The 16,328-nt window shown below is 37.7% G+C and overlaps 1 long non-coding RNA gene across 4 annotated transcripts in view; it reads right to left on the reverse strand.

Moving 5' to 3' along the window:
* LOC105378741 (uncharacterized) overlaps positions 1–16,091 on the reverse strand; it is a 74,511-nt gene extending 58,420 nt beyond the window's left edge. For 3 of the 4 annotated variants that reach the window (XR_001738066.2, XR_001738065.2, XR_001738063.2), the window contains exon 1: positions 15,865–16,091. This is a non-coding gene — a long non-coding RNA (uncharacterized LOC105378741). The remainder of the gene's footprint in view (positions 1–15,864) is intronic. The other variant, XR_001738064.2, reaches the window with a different exon arrangement.
* Positions 16,092–16,328: the final 237 nt, after the last annotated feature.

Raw genomic sequence — 16,328 nt, forward strand, 5'->3', positions numbered from 1 at the left:
AGACCATCCTGGCTAACACGGTGAAACCCTGTCTCTACTAAAAATACAAAAAAATTAGCCAGGCTTGGTGGCAGGTGCCTGAAGTCCCAGCTACTCAGGAGGCTGAGCCAGGAGAATGACATGAACCTGGGAGGTGGAGCTTGCAGTAAGCCTAGATCACACCACTGCACTCCATCCTGGGCGACAGAGTGAGATTCCATCTCAAAACAAACAAACAAACAACAACAAAAAAAACAGCAGTTAAAAAATACAAAGATGGACACTATATAATTATAAAAGGATTAGTCCAACAGAAAAATATCATAATTCTAAATATATGTGCAACTAACTCTGGAGCTCCCAAATTTATAAAACAATTACTGCTAGACCTAAGAAATGAGATAGATGGCAACACAATAATAGTGGGGGACTTCAATACTCTACTGACAGCACTAGACAGGTCATCAAGAGAGAAAGACAACAAAGAAACAATGGACATAAACTCTATCCTAGAACAAATGGACTTAATAGATATTTATAGAACATTCTACCCAACAACTGCAGAATATACAGTCTTTTCATCAACACGTGGAACATTCTATTTTTTTTATTTTTAATTGATTTTTAAATTATGGCCATTTTTACAGGAGTAAGCCAGTATTCCATTATGGATTTAGTTTGAATTCCCTGATAATCAGTGATGTTAAGATTTTTTTTCATATGTTTGTTGGTCATTTGTGTATCTTCTTTTGAGAATTACCTATTCATGTCCTTAGCCCACGTGTTGATGGGATTATTTATTGTTTTCTTGCTAATTTGTTTGAGTTCCTTGTAGATTCTGAATATTTAGTCCTTTGTTGGATGCATAGTTTGCAAAGATTTTCTCCCACTCTGTGGGTTGTCTGTTAACTCTGATGATTATTTATTTTGCTCTGCATAATCTTTTACATTTAATTAAGTTTTATCTATTTATCTTTGTTTTTGTTCCATTTGCTTTTGGGTTCTTGGTCATGAGCCCTTTGCCTAAGCCAATATCTAGAAAAGTTTTTTGATGTTATATTGTAGAATTTTTATGGTTTCAGGTCTTACATTTAAGTCTTTGATCCATCTCAAGTTGATTTTTGTGTAAGCTGAGAGATGAGAATCCAGTTTCATTCTTCTACATGTGATTTGCCAATTAGTCCAGCACTCGAATTTGTTGAATAAGATGTCCTCTTCCCTGCTTTATGTATTTGTTTGCTTTGTTAAAAATCAGTTGGCTATAAGCATTTGGCTTTATTTCTGGTTTCTCTATTCTGCTCCATTGGTCTACATGATTGTTTTTATGCCAGCATCATGCTGTTTTGCTAATGATAGCCTTGTAGTATGGTTTGAAGTTTGGTAATGTGATGCTTCCAGATTTGTTCTTTTTGTTTAGTCTGGATTTGGCTATGCAAGCTCTTTTTTGGTTCCACGTGAATTTTAAGATTGATTTTTCTAGTTCTATGAAGACTGATGATGGTATTTTGATGAGAATTGCATTGAATTTGCAGATTGGTTTTGGCGGTATGGTCATTTTTACAATATTTATTCTACCTACCTATCCATGACTATAGGATATATTTCCATTTGTTTGTGTCATCTATGATTTCTTTCAGCAGTGTTTTGTGGTTTTCCTCATAGAGATCTTTCTCCTCTTTGGTTAGGTATATTTATTTATTTATTTTTCTTTTCTTTTCTTTCTTTTCTTTTGAGACAGAGTTTCACTCTGTCGCCCAGGCTAGAGATCACTGGCATGATCTCAGCTCACTGCAACCTCTGCCTCCTGGGATCAAGTGATTCTCCTGCCTCAGCCTCCCAAATAGCTGGGATTACAGGCATGCACCAACATGCCCGGTTAATTTTTGTATTTTTAGTGGGATTACTGGGTCAAATAGTAGTTCTATTTTTTTAAGTTGTTTTAGACATCTCTGAACTGCTTCCCATAGTCACTGAACTAGTTTTCATTCCCACCAACAATGTATAAGCATTGTCTTTTCTCCTCAACCTCACCAACATTTGTTGTTTTTGACTTTTTAATAATTGCCATTCTGACTGGTGTGAGATGGTATCTCATTGTGGTTTTGATTTGCATTTCTCTGATGACTAGTGATGTTGAGCATTTTTCATGTTTGTTGAAAATCAATGTACAAAAATCAGTAGTATTTTTATACAACAATAATGTTATCGCTGAGAACCAAATTGAGAACACAGTTTCATCTACAATAGCCACAAAGAAAATGAAATTCCTAGGAATCCATCTGACCAGGGAGGTGAAAGACCTCTACAAGAATTACAAAACACTGCTAAAATAAATCAAAGATGACATACACAAATTAAAAAAAAAATTCCATGATCATGGATTGGAAGAATCGATATAGTTAAAATGGCCATAGTGCCCAGAGCAATTTATAGATTTAATACTATTCTTATCAAAATACCAACATTATTTTTCACAGAACTAGAAAAAAACTACTCTAAAATTCATTTGGAATAAAAAAAGAGCCTGAATAGCTAAATCCTAAGCAAAAAGAACAAAGCCAGAGGTACCACATTGCCTGACTTCAAACTATACTGTAAGGTTACAGTAATCAAAACAGCATGGTACTGGTATGGTACAAAAACAGATCAGTAGAACAGAATTGTGAACCCAGAAATAAACCCACACACCAACAACCATCTGGTCTTTGACAAAAACAACAAAAATAAGCAATGTGAAATGGACTGTCTATTCAATAAATGGTGCTGGGAAAATTGTCTAGCCATATGCAGAAGAATGAAACTGGACCCCTACCTCTCAACGTATATGAAAATTAATTTAAGATGGATTAAAGATTTAAATGTAAGACCTGAAACTATAAAAATCATAGAAGAAAACCTAGGAAATACCCTTGTTAATGTTGGCTTTGGCAATAAATTTATGGCTAAGTGACCAAAAGCAATTGCAACGAAAACAAAATTGACAAATATGACCTAATTAAACAAAAGAGCTTCTGCACAGCAAAAGAAATTATCAACAGGGTAAACAGACAACCTACAGAATGGGAGAATACACTTGCAAACTATGCCTCTGACAAAAGTCTAATATCTAGACTCTACAGGGAACTTAAACAAATCAACAAGCAAAAAACAAACAATCCAATTGAAAAATGGGCAAAGGACATGAATAGACACTTTTCAAAAGGTGAGGTATTTGATCCTTTGTTGCAAGCTGCTTTCAATTTCCTCACAAATGCATGGTTCAGAGGTTATTTGGAAATTTCAGCTGAGTTTAAACATTGAATTAGGGCTGCCATCCTTTGACTCTTTCCTCCTCACTCTCTGGTGGCTATGGTTGCCACAGGTTTGCTTTATCTGCTTTATTTGGCTAAAAATATGTCAGGGTTTTTAAATCAGAATTGTAGTTACATGGCATTGTCTACACTATGATTGTGGGTACCTTCAAAATAAAGCCACATAAAGCACGGAACTTGCTCCATTTGGTTCCTTCATCTCGTGTTTCAACTTTCCTCCACAACCTTCTGCTTTTGCTCAGTCTCCAGAGTTTTCAAGTTAGTTAGTGTTTTGTATCTTTTCCCAAGTTCTGTTATTTGCGGTAGCTCACTACTCCATACTGGAGATGAAATTTTAATTCCAATTTTTAAAATTTCACAATAAGTTCAATTTTTGTAACTTTAAGGTTTTATGAAGTCATTAACTGAGATGAATAAAGATGTTTTACTAAACACATGAAGTTTGACGTTAAAGTTTATGATTCCCAAGTTGCCATCTTATTTCATCCTCAGCATCCAATTTCATTTCCTGTTTTGTTTTGGTTGCACAGTATTGAGAAAGCTTGATTTATATGAGTACACAATTGTAAAAGATAGTTTTTAAAAAAAATAATTTATCTTAGCATATCAGTCAATAAAACAGAAGCTTTATTTTGAGGTTTGCATAAAGAGGAGTCAGATTGGCAACATGATCTTCTAATCCAAGTTTTTTATAAACATTCTGTGAGAAGCTAACATCCATCGTCAAATGTGTTTGGGAGAATTTGCCTAGTATACTCCACTAGAGAATCATGACAAATTCTAGATCTTGAGGAGAAATCTTTTAAATCCAATTCAACTCATGTTTCCCAAAATTACTTATCACATACTCCTTATTTCAAAAAATACCTGGTAACAAATTGTAGGATCTGTGTTTTAAAATTTGGAAAACAAAAATTCATAATCCCAAAGGAAAGGAGAAAAATATAAGCATCCAAAATAGTGCCTACCATATAGTAGGTAACTAATGGATGCTAACACGCATTATTTTACTTAATCCTTACAATAACTGTATGAGGAAGATTTTGTTTTCCTGTTCAGACGAGAAAACTTGGGCACAAGAAGCTATTTTTTTAAACATACAAAATGCTATCTCATATCCCAAGGGGCAGACAGTGTCCTTGGACAGCCAAGGGCTATTGCTTCAGTCCCACCCAAGCATCAAAGTGGACTCAGTGGGGATAGAGCTGAACAGGGGTCAAGAGTCCAAGAATTCTCAGGATAGTAATCAGGGAAGGCAACCAGTATTGTTTTGGAGAACAGACAAGGCAGTGGCCAGAAAAATGGTACTGAGAAACATCAATAAAAGAGCTGAGAAAATAAATAGGGGAATTTAGCAGAAATATGAATACTTGGGGAGGTCGGGAACAATAATTACTTAAGAAGGACAAAAGTGAGAGGAGCAGCAATCCAAACCTAAGGTCATCTTACAAGGGGATTAGGATTTTGTATAGCAATAGGTTTAACTATTATAAAGGATTGTTTAAGGAAACGTACAGGTTAATAAAAGACATAACAAATTTTCAAACAAGCTTTAGAGAAAAAATGCTAATAGATGTCATAGGAGGGGACAAAGGCTATACACTAGTGCAGTCATGGAGGCTTCCTTGAAGAAATGGGTTATGAGTCAACACTGAAGTCAAGACAGGATTCATATGGCCTGGATCAGTAGAGAAAAAACATTTATATAATTGTCAAGAATTCTACTTTTACCTGTTATGTGGCAATGTGTACCCTTACCAATATAAAATGTCTAGGAAAATAATTTGTGAATTTCAAATTTTATTGAGGGCCTACTATGTGAAAATTATTTTAAAAAAGTAATTGGGGCTTCTTTATTTTAAGACATAATAATTAATTTTATTTTCCTAATCCAAGTAATTTTAACAAATAGTTTTTTCATTGTTCAGTTCCTTAGACTTTATGTTGCATGGTGGAAAAGAAATCAGCCAACTTCCTGGCTTTAGCACTACTTTCCACTCTAAAGTTATCTATGCAAGACAAGTGACAATTTATCTCATTACAATATTTTAAGTGAAAAACTTGATTTTTCCAAGTATTTTGGCTTCTAGTAAAATGTTTTCCAGCCTAACTTCTATAATCCACTATACTTTCAATCATCCATTCTGTGCTAAGAATTTTTGCAAGTTCCTCAAAGGCAAGGGCCATGTCCTATATGTACATTTATTTCACTTTAAAGTAAAAATCATTTTCCATTATAAAAAGATTGCATTTTAAAAATAGAGAAAATATCACATAGTTGTAATACCCAGGGATAACTTCTGTTAAGAGTTTGCTGTATTTTTCTACAGTCTGCTTCTGCCACATATATTTCTTACATAATTGTGATCAGATCGTATATACAAAATATGATATATAGAGTTAAAATATTATGTCTACCTTTTCTGATTATAATACAATTACAGGACAATAATTAGAAATTTAGAATTTTAGAAGAGTATAAAGAGAAAACACAAATGATGTAAAAATCCATCTATCCAGAGACAAAATATATATTTTGGCTTATTTCTTTAGAATCTTTTTCCTTTTTTCCAAACCTAATTAAATTTATACTATGTTGTAATGATTTTGAAGCATAATTAACACAAGCAACATTTTATAGAGAGAATCAGGTGTGTGATTATTTAGAAAGAGGCTTGGTGACTAATGATATCTAGGACGAGGTGGTTTCTCAGTACTTTCCTAATTATTTATTTAGAAACAGAGTCTCACTCTGTCACCCACACTGGAGTTCAGTGGTGCAATCTCGGCCCACTGCCTCCTGGGTTCAAGCGATTCTCCCGCCTCAGCCTGCTGAGTAGCTGGGATTACAGGCGCCCACCACCATACCTGGCTAATTTTTGCATTTTTAGTAGAGACCAGATTTTGCCATGTTGGCCAGGCTGGTCTCGAACTCCTGGCCTCAAGCAATCAGCTTGCCTCAGCCTTTCAAAGCGGTGGGATTACGGGCGTGAGCCACCATGCCCAGCCAGTATGTTTCTATTTTAAAATAAAGACATGAAGAAATTATAAAATGTTTCTGACAATGAATTAAGGTGTATATGCTATATGGAGCAGCATTAAGCCATTTAGTTGGTTTTCTCCTTGTTTGTATGGAGGAGGGAAACATGTCCCTTCTTCAGAAATTTTGTTATCTCAAGCTACCTAACATGCAACTGTTGATCTCTGATTAGCAAATGCAGAGCTGTACATCACCAGTGGCTTTTGTGCTCAATGTTTGTAGACAATTCTACTGATTTTTTTTTTTCATTGAGTGAAGGCGAAGCATGTAACGTGAAAAATACTTCTGTAATAATAGGGAATTATAACAACAACAATAACAACAATATGGTCATAATACCTACCACTTCAGAACGCTTACCATTTGTCAGGGACTATGTTAACCACTTCATATGGATTTATCACTTGAAATTTATTCATTCACATGAATAAATTTAATATATGTAAGCTGCCTGCTAATTGCTGGGAATTAAATAATGAGAAAAGAAACCAGTTTCAGAAGGATCTAAATTTGCTGTCATGTAGTTTAGAGATTAGTGAGGAAGAGACTTGATCAGCAATCATGCCAACAACCAAATAATTACAAGCTGTTTGAACTCTGAAAGAAAGACCCACTGTTTTGAGAGCATCTGTGGCTGATAAACCTTCTCAAAACTAGGAATGCATGGAAGGTTACCTGAGGAATAAGCTTTGACTAAAGTTTGCATATTGACAGGCAGCTAATTCAGCAAAAGAGGAGGAGAGTATGATTGGGGACAAACACAAGTAGTGTAAAATCAGGCTATGGACATAGGGAGATTCTAGATCAGGTAGGGTCCTTATAAGCTCTGCAAAGATTTCTGTCTTTATCATAGAACCAATGGAAATTCACTGGGGAGCTTTCAAATATGGAATTAATATGTACATATCTATATGTTTGATGATGACACTGGCTACATTGTGGTGATGAAACCGAAGAAGGCCAGAGTGGATACAGAAGAGCTGGAACAAGAGTAATAGCAGCAGAGATGATGAGCAGGTACATGCATTCAGGGAAATTCTGGAAGCAAATTTGACAGTGGTTGGGCTCTCTTTTGGAATGGATACTAGGGGTGTGGCAGGCAGGTGAAGAAACAGCAGGAAGGGGGTGGAATTCAAAAAGAAGTGGAGGAATTGGCCTTCAATAGAAGATAGAACAGATCCTCCAACTTCTCTTTGAGACATCTTTCCCTTTTGCATATTCAGCTCCTGGTTTAGGCCCTGATTAGTTTAGGCCAACCAGCATAGCCTATCCCCAGACCACAGTGATTGGTCAGGAATGAAGGTGTAAGCCAATCAGAGCCAATGAGATGCAAGGAGACATTCACAGGTGCTTTGGAGAAAATGAAGCTTCCCTGAAAGGTCTCCCATTCCCTGCACAATATGGTGTGACAATATGGCACTGGGTACTGCAGTCAGCAGTCATTACAGTGGGGTACTCAGAGATGTCAGAGGCACTGTGTAAAGCTGAGGATGGTGGTGTCACCCAGGAAAGCAGAGGCAAGAGAGAATGGAAAAAAAAAATCAAAACCTGAAACAAATGAAGATAACACTGTTATGTTAGTGACATCATTTTGGCCTTTAAATTAAAGAAATCTTAGATTAAAGATTTCTTAATGTCAGCCCTGCTTCTGGACTTTTTGGTTACATTCATCAGTAATTCCTTTTTTTTGTTTAACCCAAATCAAAGGTCGCTTTGAGTTGAGTTTGAGTTTTCTATGATTTCCCTACAATGTCCTGAGAGAGATACAGGTTTTCCCCATCAATTGACTTTCTCCAGCAGCAGTCAGCTTCTCTGATGCAGGTGAAGAGAAAGCAGATAGAGGAATTAATCCAGAGTTCAAATTTTGCCAAGTAGCTGTGATACAAAAGAAAGGGAGAGGGGTGTTGACAGGAGAGTTACGGAGACAATGGACTTACTGAGTCTAAATCATAAGGAGTGAAGCTAAAAAGATTAAGAGGTCTGACAGATTGTAGAAATGAAGGATCAATTCACAGCAGGTTCCAAAGAGGTTAAAAAATATTTGGACTAATAGCAAATTAACAAACAAACTGGAAAGGCACAAAGTGATGGAGACAAAGCAGGTTGCTTGAACTAGTTATTTCAAATTTGAGAATATTTTGAATGGTGGCAAAGTAAAAAGTTGGAGTGACAGAGGGGATATCTGAAATGAAGTAAAGGAGAAAGGAGCGTAGCAAGTGAGAGGGCAGGCTGTTGGTTGACTCCATCCCCACAGAGATGGGACGATCACCTGGGATGAGGGAAGGGATTGGGATGGCAAGGAGGACTCATTTAGTCTGTGATGTTCAACAAGGGTGTGGGAGAAACCGCAAGAGTTGAAGATACTAGTGACGAGGGGAGGGTGGTATACCAACAGGCACAGGCCTAATGGGAACAGAATTTTTACAAGATGATGAAGAAACAGAAATCTGGAAGCAGAAATGGGACATAAGGGACTCAACAAATCCACTCTAGTCCTGGGGTTCATGGAAGAAAATGGGAGAGAATAAAAAGATCCTGCATGTGAGGGCTGTCTGGGAAGTAAAATCCAGCAGGAAAAAGCCCGGTCTCAGTTAAGGGAAGGAGTGAGTAGAACATTCTGAGAATAGACCGGGAGTAGAGAGGACTTTGCTGATTCTGGAGTGGCAAGTCTTCAGAATAGAAAGGATGAATTTAAAAGGTATCAGAGAAGTAGAGAGATGGGTTGAAGATGAGAGCTTTGCCTAGCCTTATGGTGAGGGTGGTATAGTTAAAGGCTATAGGGCAGCAGACAACCACCAAAGTAAGTTATATTTTGGGTGTTAACAGTTAAAAACAGGGATGGAAATTTAAGAGGCCGAGGGGGGAGGATCACTTGAGGCCAGGAGTTCAAGACCAGCCTGGACGATGTGGCAAAACACCATCTCTACTAAAAATACGAAAATTAGCCAAGTATGGTGGCGGGTGCCTGTAATCCTAGCTACTTGGGAGGCCGAGACAGGAGAATCACTTGAGCCCCAGGGACTGAGGTTGCAGCGGGCCAAGATCATGCCACTGCACTCTAGCCTGGGCAACAGAGCGAGACTCTGTCTCAAATAAAATAAAATAAAATAAAATAAAATAAAATAAAATAAAATAAAATAAAATAATAAAATAAAATAAAATAAAATAAAATAAAATAAAAATAGCAAAATAAAAAACAGGGATGGGTGCCCTAGTGGGGAGATCCATTTGACAGAGTGGGTGCTGAGCCTCATGCAGGAGGGCATGACTCACATGAACTAAGATAGTGAAAATTCCAGCAGCTTCAGTGACTGAACACCTTGGCCTGGCTTAGTTGCCATAGGAGGACTGGGATTCAGCTGTACTCAATTCCTAAAGCTGGGGAAGAGTGAGTCCAGGAACCACATGCACAGTGGGAGCTTCTAGGATCCATGCTAAGCACTACCAATACTAGCACAGAAGGAATACTCAGGAAATATTGGTAGCTGCTGCTGCTCTTGCTGTTTGTGTTGTTGATGTTATTATTGTTGAACCACAATCCCTTACCTGCAACTGGGTCCTTGCCTATCTGTGTAAAAAGGGATTGGACTTGCTAATTTCTAAGATCCTTCTCAGCTGGAAATGTCTATGCTCCTATAGCCATAATATGTAAACGTTCAGTAATGGATCTTCTTTCCTAAGTAGCCACTTCCTCCACCTTGAAAAACCCTTCAGCCTAAAGGTTCAGATGTGTTCAGTCATTTCTTCATTCTTGCGCCTGGTTCCACAGTGACAATACCCTATGTGTATTCAAAGATTAAATACTATGTCTACTCAACCAAATATGCTATTACATATTAATTATATGGCTCACATAAAACAGGTTAGAGTTCCTTGGCAAATTAAAAATATGGCATTTGCAGCATATGGGGAGGCTTTTTTTTAGGCTCTGCATGAGATGAGGCATCTGTTATATTGCCAAGCTGATCATTCTATATTCCCTACTCTTCACATTAAGTTCCCTGTTTTAAGAGGCTCCAGAGCCCTCCGCACAACTCCAGATCCCCACTTCTAATCCTTAAACTTACAGAGCTTTTTCTTTCAAAATTAAAACAAAAAATATGTTTTAAGTATTTGTCTTTTTAAATTTGAGTACATTTCCCTTTATTTTCTTTGAGTTTTGATTAACGATGATTATCTCTTTTTTGCAACTCTAAGATGGCTGTGGTTCCATGAAAGGAAGAATATACTTATTATAATTAATATTCTAATTTTAATTCTTATGATTCCTTCTTTATTGGTAACAAAATGCCTTTATTCCCTTTTTATTTAACCTTCATGCACACACACACACACACACACACACACACACATACACACACAGTTATTAAGATGTTTGTATTACTTCCATGACATATGAGGACACAGAGGCTCTGAGAACTGAAGCAACACATCTGAGGTGACACAGGCTCTTGTGTTTCAGTGTGACATCCCACAATCCCTGTGCTTCTCTGTCATGATCAGTCGGTGAGTCAGACACCCCACAAGGTTGTGAATATCATGAGGATATAGGAGGGTATCTTATTACCCCAGAACTTAGTACACATAGTAACTTCTCAGAAAACATCTGCCAAGGAATGAGAGCTCTGCTTTTCATCGAGAATTGTTACAAATAACATTTCTTTTTATCAACACATCAGTTCTTTAACATTGCTATATAATCCTCTTGGTAGAAATGAAGAAATGAATGTGCAAGAAACTAAGCAATGATTTTGACATCCCACAGCATGTAAGAGGTAATGAAAGGACATGAATAGGGCTTCTATAGAATGATCAACTTGGCAATATAACAGGTCTTCTGGAACTTACTCCTGAGTTCTTCCCAATAAGCTACATTGAATTTTTTGAGTATAGTTGTACTTTAGATATGAACAAATACCCTGCCTACATCACAGGCATGAGTCCAGAAATTCTTCTTACACAGATGAGGTGACACCGTGGTCCTGAGAGGGCTAAGAGAGCTGCAGGAATCCAAGATAAGGACAAAGAGGCCACAGTGAGCTTGGACTTAGTAACCAAATGGCCAAGATAGTGCATCCCTGCAGTGGTGTCTCCAAAGATGCTCCAAAGAGCCAGAATGAACAAGTTGCCCCTCAATAATCAACATCCCAGAGGCAAGAGAAGACCAACCACAAACCACACAGCCCAGTGAGTGGTCCTTTCCTGGGTTATCCTGGGATCACATGGTCACATCTTTACATGGAGCCACAAAAGAGGAGAAGGGGAGAGTAAGTTCTGGAAAACTAAACATTTTGGAAAAAAAAAAAAAAAGAAGAAGAAGAAATCCCTCAAAAGAACTAAAACAAAGATAACTTTCACCATTTAGATGTTCCTCCTCCCACTCCTGACTGTGAAGCAGAAGAGTGAGTTTCATCAGAAAGATTAGAGACATTATGGAAAATAAAGAAGCTACATTTTCTTTTTTTTTCCCTTTTTATTTATTTAACTTATATTTTAAGTTCAGGTGCAGGTTTGTGCAGGTTTGCTACATAAGTAAACTCGTGTCATGGGGGTTCGTTGTATTGATTATCTCATCACCAAGGTATTAAGCCTAGTACTCATTAGTTATTTTCTCTGATCCCCTTCCTCTTCCCACTCTTTACCCTCAGGTAGGCCCCCAGTGTGTGTTGTTCCCCTTTATGTGTCTATGTGTTCTCATCATTTAGCTCCCACTTATAAGTGAGAACATGTGGTATTTGGTTTTCTGTTCCGGCATTAGTTTGCTAAGGATAATGGTCTCCAACTCCATTCATGTCACTACAAAGACATGACCTCATTCTTTTTTATGGCTACATAGTATGCCATGGTGTACATGTACCACATTTTCTTTATCTATTCTACCAGTGATGAGCATTTAGGTTGATTCTATGTCATTGCTATTGTGAATAGTGCTGCAATGAACATACTCATGCATGTGTGTTTATGATAGAATGATTTATATTCCTTTGGTATATATCCAGTAATGTGATTGCTGTTTGTTTTTAGGTCTTTGAGGAATTACCACACTGCTTTTCACCATGGTGGAACTAATTTATACTCCCACCGACAATATATATGTGCTCCTTTTTCTCCACAACCTTGCCAGTACCTGTTATTTTTACCTTTTTAGTAATAGCCATTCTGACTGATGTGAGATGGTCTCTCATTGCGGTTTTGATTTGCATTTCTCTAATGATTAGTGATGTTGAGCTTTTTTTCATAAGCTTGTTGGCCACATGTGTGTCTCCTTTTGAAAGTGTCTGTTCATGTCCTTTGCCCACTTCTTAATACAGTTGTTCATTTTTCTCTTGTTAATTTGTTTAAGTTCCTTATAGATGCCAGACACTAGACCTTTGTCAGATGCATAGTTTGCAAAAATTTTCTCCCATTCTGTACGTTGTCTTTTTATTCAATTGATAGGTTCTTTTGCTGTATGGAAGCTCTTTAGTTTAATTAGGTCCCATTTGTCATTTTTGCTTTTGTTGTGATTGCTTTCAGTGTCTTTGTCATGAAATCTTTGACCATTCCTATGTCCAGAATGATAATGCCTGGGTTGTCTTTCAGGATTTTTATAGTTTTGGATTTTACATTTAAGTCTTTAATCCATCTTGGGTTAACTTTTTTATATGGTGTAAGGAAGGGGTCCAGTTTCAGTCATCTGCATATGGCTAGATGGTTATTGCAGCACCATTTATTGAAAAGGGAGTATTTTTTCCCATTGCTTGTGTTTTTTGACTTTGTCAAAGATCAGATAGTTGTAGGTGTGCAGCCTTTTTCCTGGGCTCTGTATTCTGTTCCATTGGTTTATGTGTTTTTGTACCAATACCGTACTGTTTTGATTACTGTTGCCCTGTAGTATATTTCGAAGTTGGGTAGCATGATGCCTCCAGCTTTCTTTTTGCTCAGGATTGCCTCAGCTGTTGGGCTTTTTTCTTTTTTTTGGTTCCATATAATTTTTAAAAGAGTTTTTTTCTAGTTCTGTGAAGAATGTCATTGGTAGTTTGATAAAAATAGTATTGAATCTGTAAAATACTTTGGGTTGGCCATTTTTAACAATATTGATTCTGGGATGTTATTCCATTTGTTTGTGTAATCTCTGATTTCTCTGAGCAGTGTTTTGTAGCTCTTCTTATAGAGATTTTTCACCTCCCTGTTACCTGTATTCCTAGGTATTTTATTTTTTTGTGGCAATTGTAAATGGAATTCCATTCTTGATTTGGCTCTTGGCTTGACTGTTATTGGTGTATAGGAGTATTAGTGATTTTTGTATGTTGATTTTGTATCCTGAGACTTTGCTGAAGTTTTTTTATCAGTTGAAGGAGATTTTGGGCAGAGACTATGGGGTTTTCTAGATATGGGATCATGTCATCTGCAAACAGGGACGGTTTGGCTTCCTCTTTTCCTATTTCGATGCCCTTTCCTTCTTCCTTTTGCCCAATTGTTCTGGCCAGGACTTCCAATACTATGTTGAATAGAAGTGGTGAGAGAGGACATCCTTGGCTTGTGCCAGTTTTCAAGGGGGGTGCTTTCAGCTTTTCCTCATTCAGTATATGTTGGCTATGATTTTGTCATAGATGGCTTTTATTATTTTGAGATGTGTTCCTTTAATACTGATTTATTGAGTTTTTAACATGAGGGGGTGTTGAATTTTATCAAAAGCCTTTTCTACATCTATTGTAATAATCATGTGATTTTTGTCTTTAGTTCTGTTCATGTGATGAATCACATTTATTGATTTGCATATGTTGAACCAACCTTGCATCCCAGGGATAAAGCCTACTTGATCATGGTGAGTAACCTTTTTAATGTGCTGCTGGATTCAGTTTGCAAGTATTTTACTGAAGATTTTTGCATCAAAGTTCATCAAGGATATTGGCCTAAAGTTTTCTGTTTTTGTTGTGTCTCTGCCAGGTTTTGGTATCAAGATGATGTTGGCCTCATAGAATGATTTAGAGAGGAAGAAGCTACATTTTCTTACCACAGTTGAGTCATAATATAGAGTTCAGACTTCCTGCATATTTAAAGATGACATTTTTTTTTTATATATACTTTAAGTTCTGAGGTACATATGCAGAATGTGCAGGTTTGGTACATAGGTATACACGTGCCATGGTGGTTTGCTGCACCCATCAACCTGTCATCTACATTCAGTATTTCTCTTAATGCTATCCCTCCCCTAGCACCCCACTCCCCAACAGGCCCTGGTGTGTGATGTTCCACTCCCTTTGTCCATGTGTTCTCATTGTTCAACTCCCACTTATGAGTGAGAACATCTGGTGTTTGGCTTTCTGTTCTTGAAAGCTCCTTTAGAATTTATTCGTTAATCCCCACACCCTGAGAGGACAAAAAGAGAAAATAATTTCTGCGGGTCTATAGATTTGTCTATTACAGATTATTGCATATTCATTCAAAGAATATTTTTGATTGCCTTCTATAAATTAGACATTGAGCATAGAACAATGAGAGAAAACAAAAAGATTGTGAATTTACTGTGTAAATTAAAGGTGAGGAGTTTGGTAACTGGTCCAAGGTCAAATAGTTAAACCATAGAGCCAGGATTAAACTCGGCTAAATCTGACTCAAAAGCCCATAGATTTTCTGTCTCACCATACTAGTTAAATATGAACTACAAAATCATAGAATTTTATGCTTAGAGGTGTACTACTCTGTTTTTTAAAGCCAGATGGGCAACTTGTTTTATTTAATAAATCTCTAAACTCCCTTAAAGAAGTTTGCATCCCTATGTCTATTCGCGTCAGCTAGCTGGTGATGAGGCTGACATTGTTTCAAGAAAACCAAACTGAGCCATAAGAAATTAAATACCACAGTGGTGTTTCTAAAGCATGGTCCCTGGACCAGCAGCATCAGCCTTACCTGGGGATTTGTTAGAAATACAAATTCTCAGACCACACCCCAGACCTACTGAATCAGAAACTCTGGGTGTGGGACCCAGCAATCTGTGTTATAATGAGCTCTCCAGATAATGAGTTGTACACTACAGTTTGAGAGCAACTGTTCTACAGGCAATGGGGTCCCACTGTGCTAGCTCTCCTGAACCTCGGCATACCTCAGGATCCTTCTCTACACAGAGACCCAAGAAGCCACTAACAGCATTTCTGAATTGGTGTTTATAAAGAGACCTATTTGCCAGTTATGGGTAGTTCAACCAACAATTTCACTGATGAGAAAATTAGCTATAGAGATCAAGAGTCGCATATACAAACTCACAGAGCAAAACAGTGGCCAAAATAAAGTCAAATCCAGTTTAGTCCTTCCAAACACCACAGTGGTTGGCGGAACCACTGTTTCCTGGTGAGCAGAAACAGAAAAGGGTAGAAGGGAAGGAGTTAATAACTTTCATAGGCCAAGATGTGGGTTCTGGTTGAGGAACCAGTGAACAACCAGCGGTTGAGAGGGAATCTGACACCTAGGTTGGGACTAGAATAGGCCCACATGGAGCAAGGGAGGCAAAAGAGAAATCTGAGCTGAAAATGGAAGGGTATCGCTCTCTCTTACCCTGTTTGGGAGGCCTCCAGCTTCCCCAGATCATGCTCTGTTTTGCCATGTGGATGAATTACCTCTCTTTGTGCCTGCTTCCTGGACCCTCCTCTACCCACAGCTGCTGGATCTGATCTTCATCCATCTTCACCCAGGCCAAGGACCCCAGGGAGCTCTGGGGAGGCTCCAGTCCACAGTAGTAATGAGAAGCAGGACTTCCAGGAGCCCTGCTGCCGATGAGAGTCAGGGAACACGATCACCTAATCGTTGTGAAATTACCAGGTATGACTGAGCAGGTAAAGAATGTTTTGTTTGGCTCAGGATGGGGGGTGAGGGAACCTCATGATTTTGAATCCACCAACTTTTCCAAGGGAGCAGTTATTGCTGTATTGGTTTGTTTTTGTTTTGCCAAATCAATGCCATCCAGAATATTCATTCAGTGTATGTATAACACTGCATTGTCTGAATTGGTAGAAATAAAT

Source organism: Homo sapiens, chromosome 1 (genome assembly GCF_000001405.40).
Source record: "Homo sapiens chromosome 1, GRCh38.p14 Primary Assembly".
In the NCBI taxonomy this organism is placed as follows: Eukaryota; Metazoa; Chordata; class Mammalia; order Primates; family Hominidae; genus Homo; species Homo sapiens.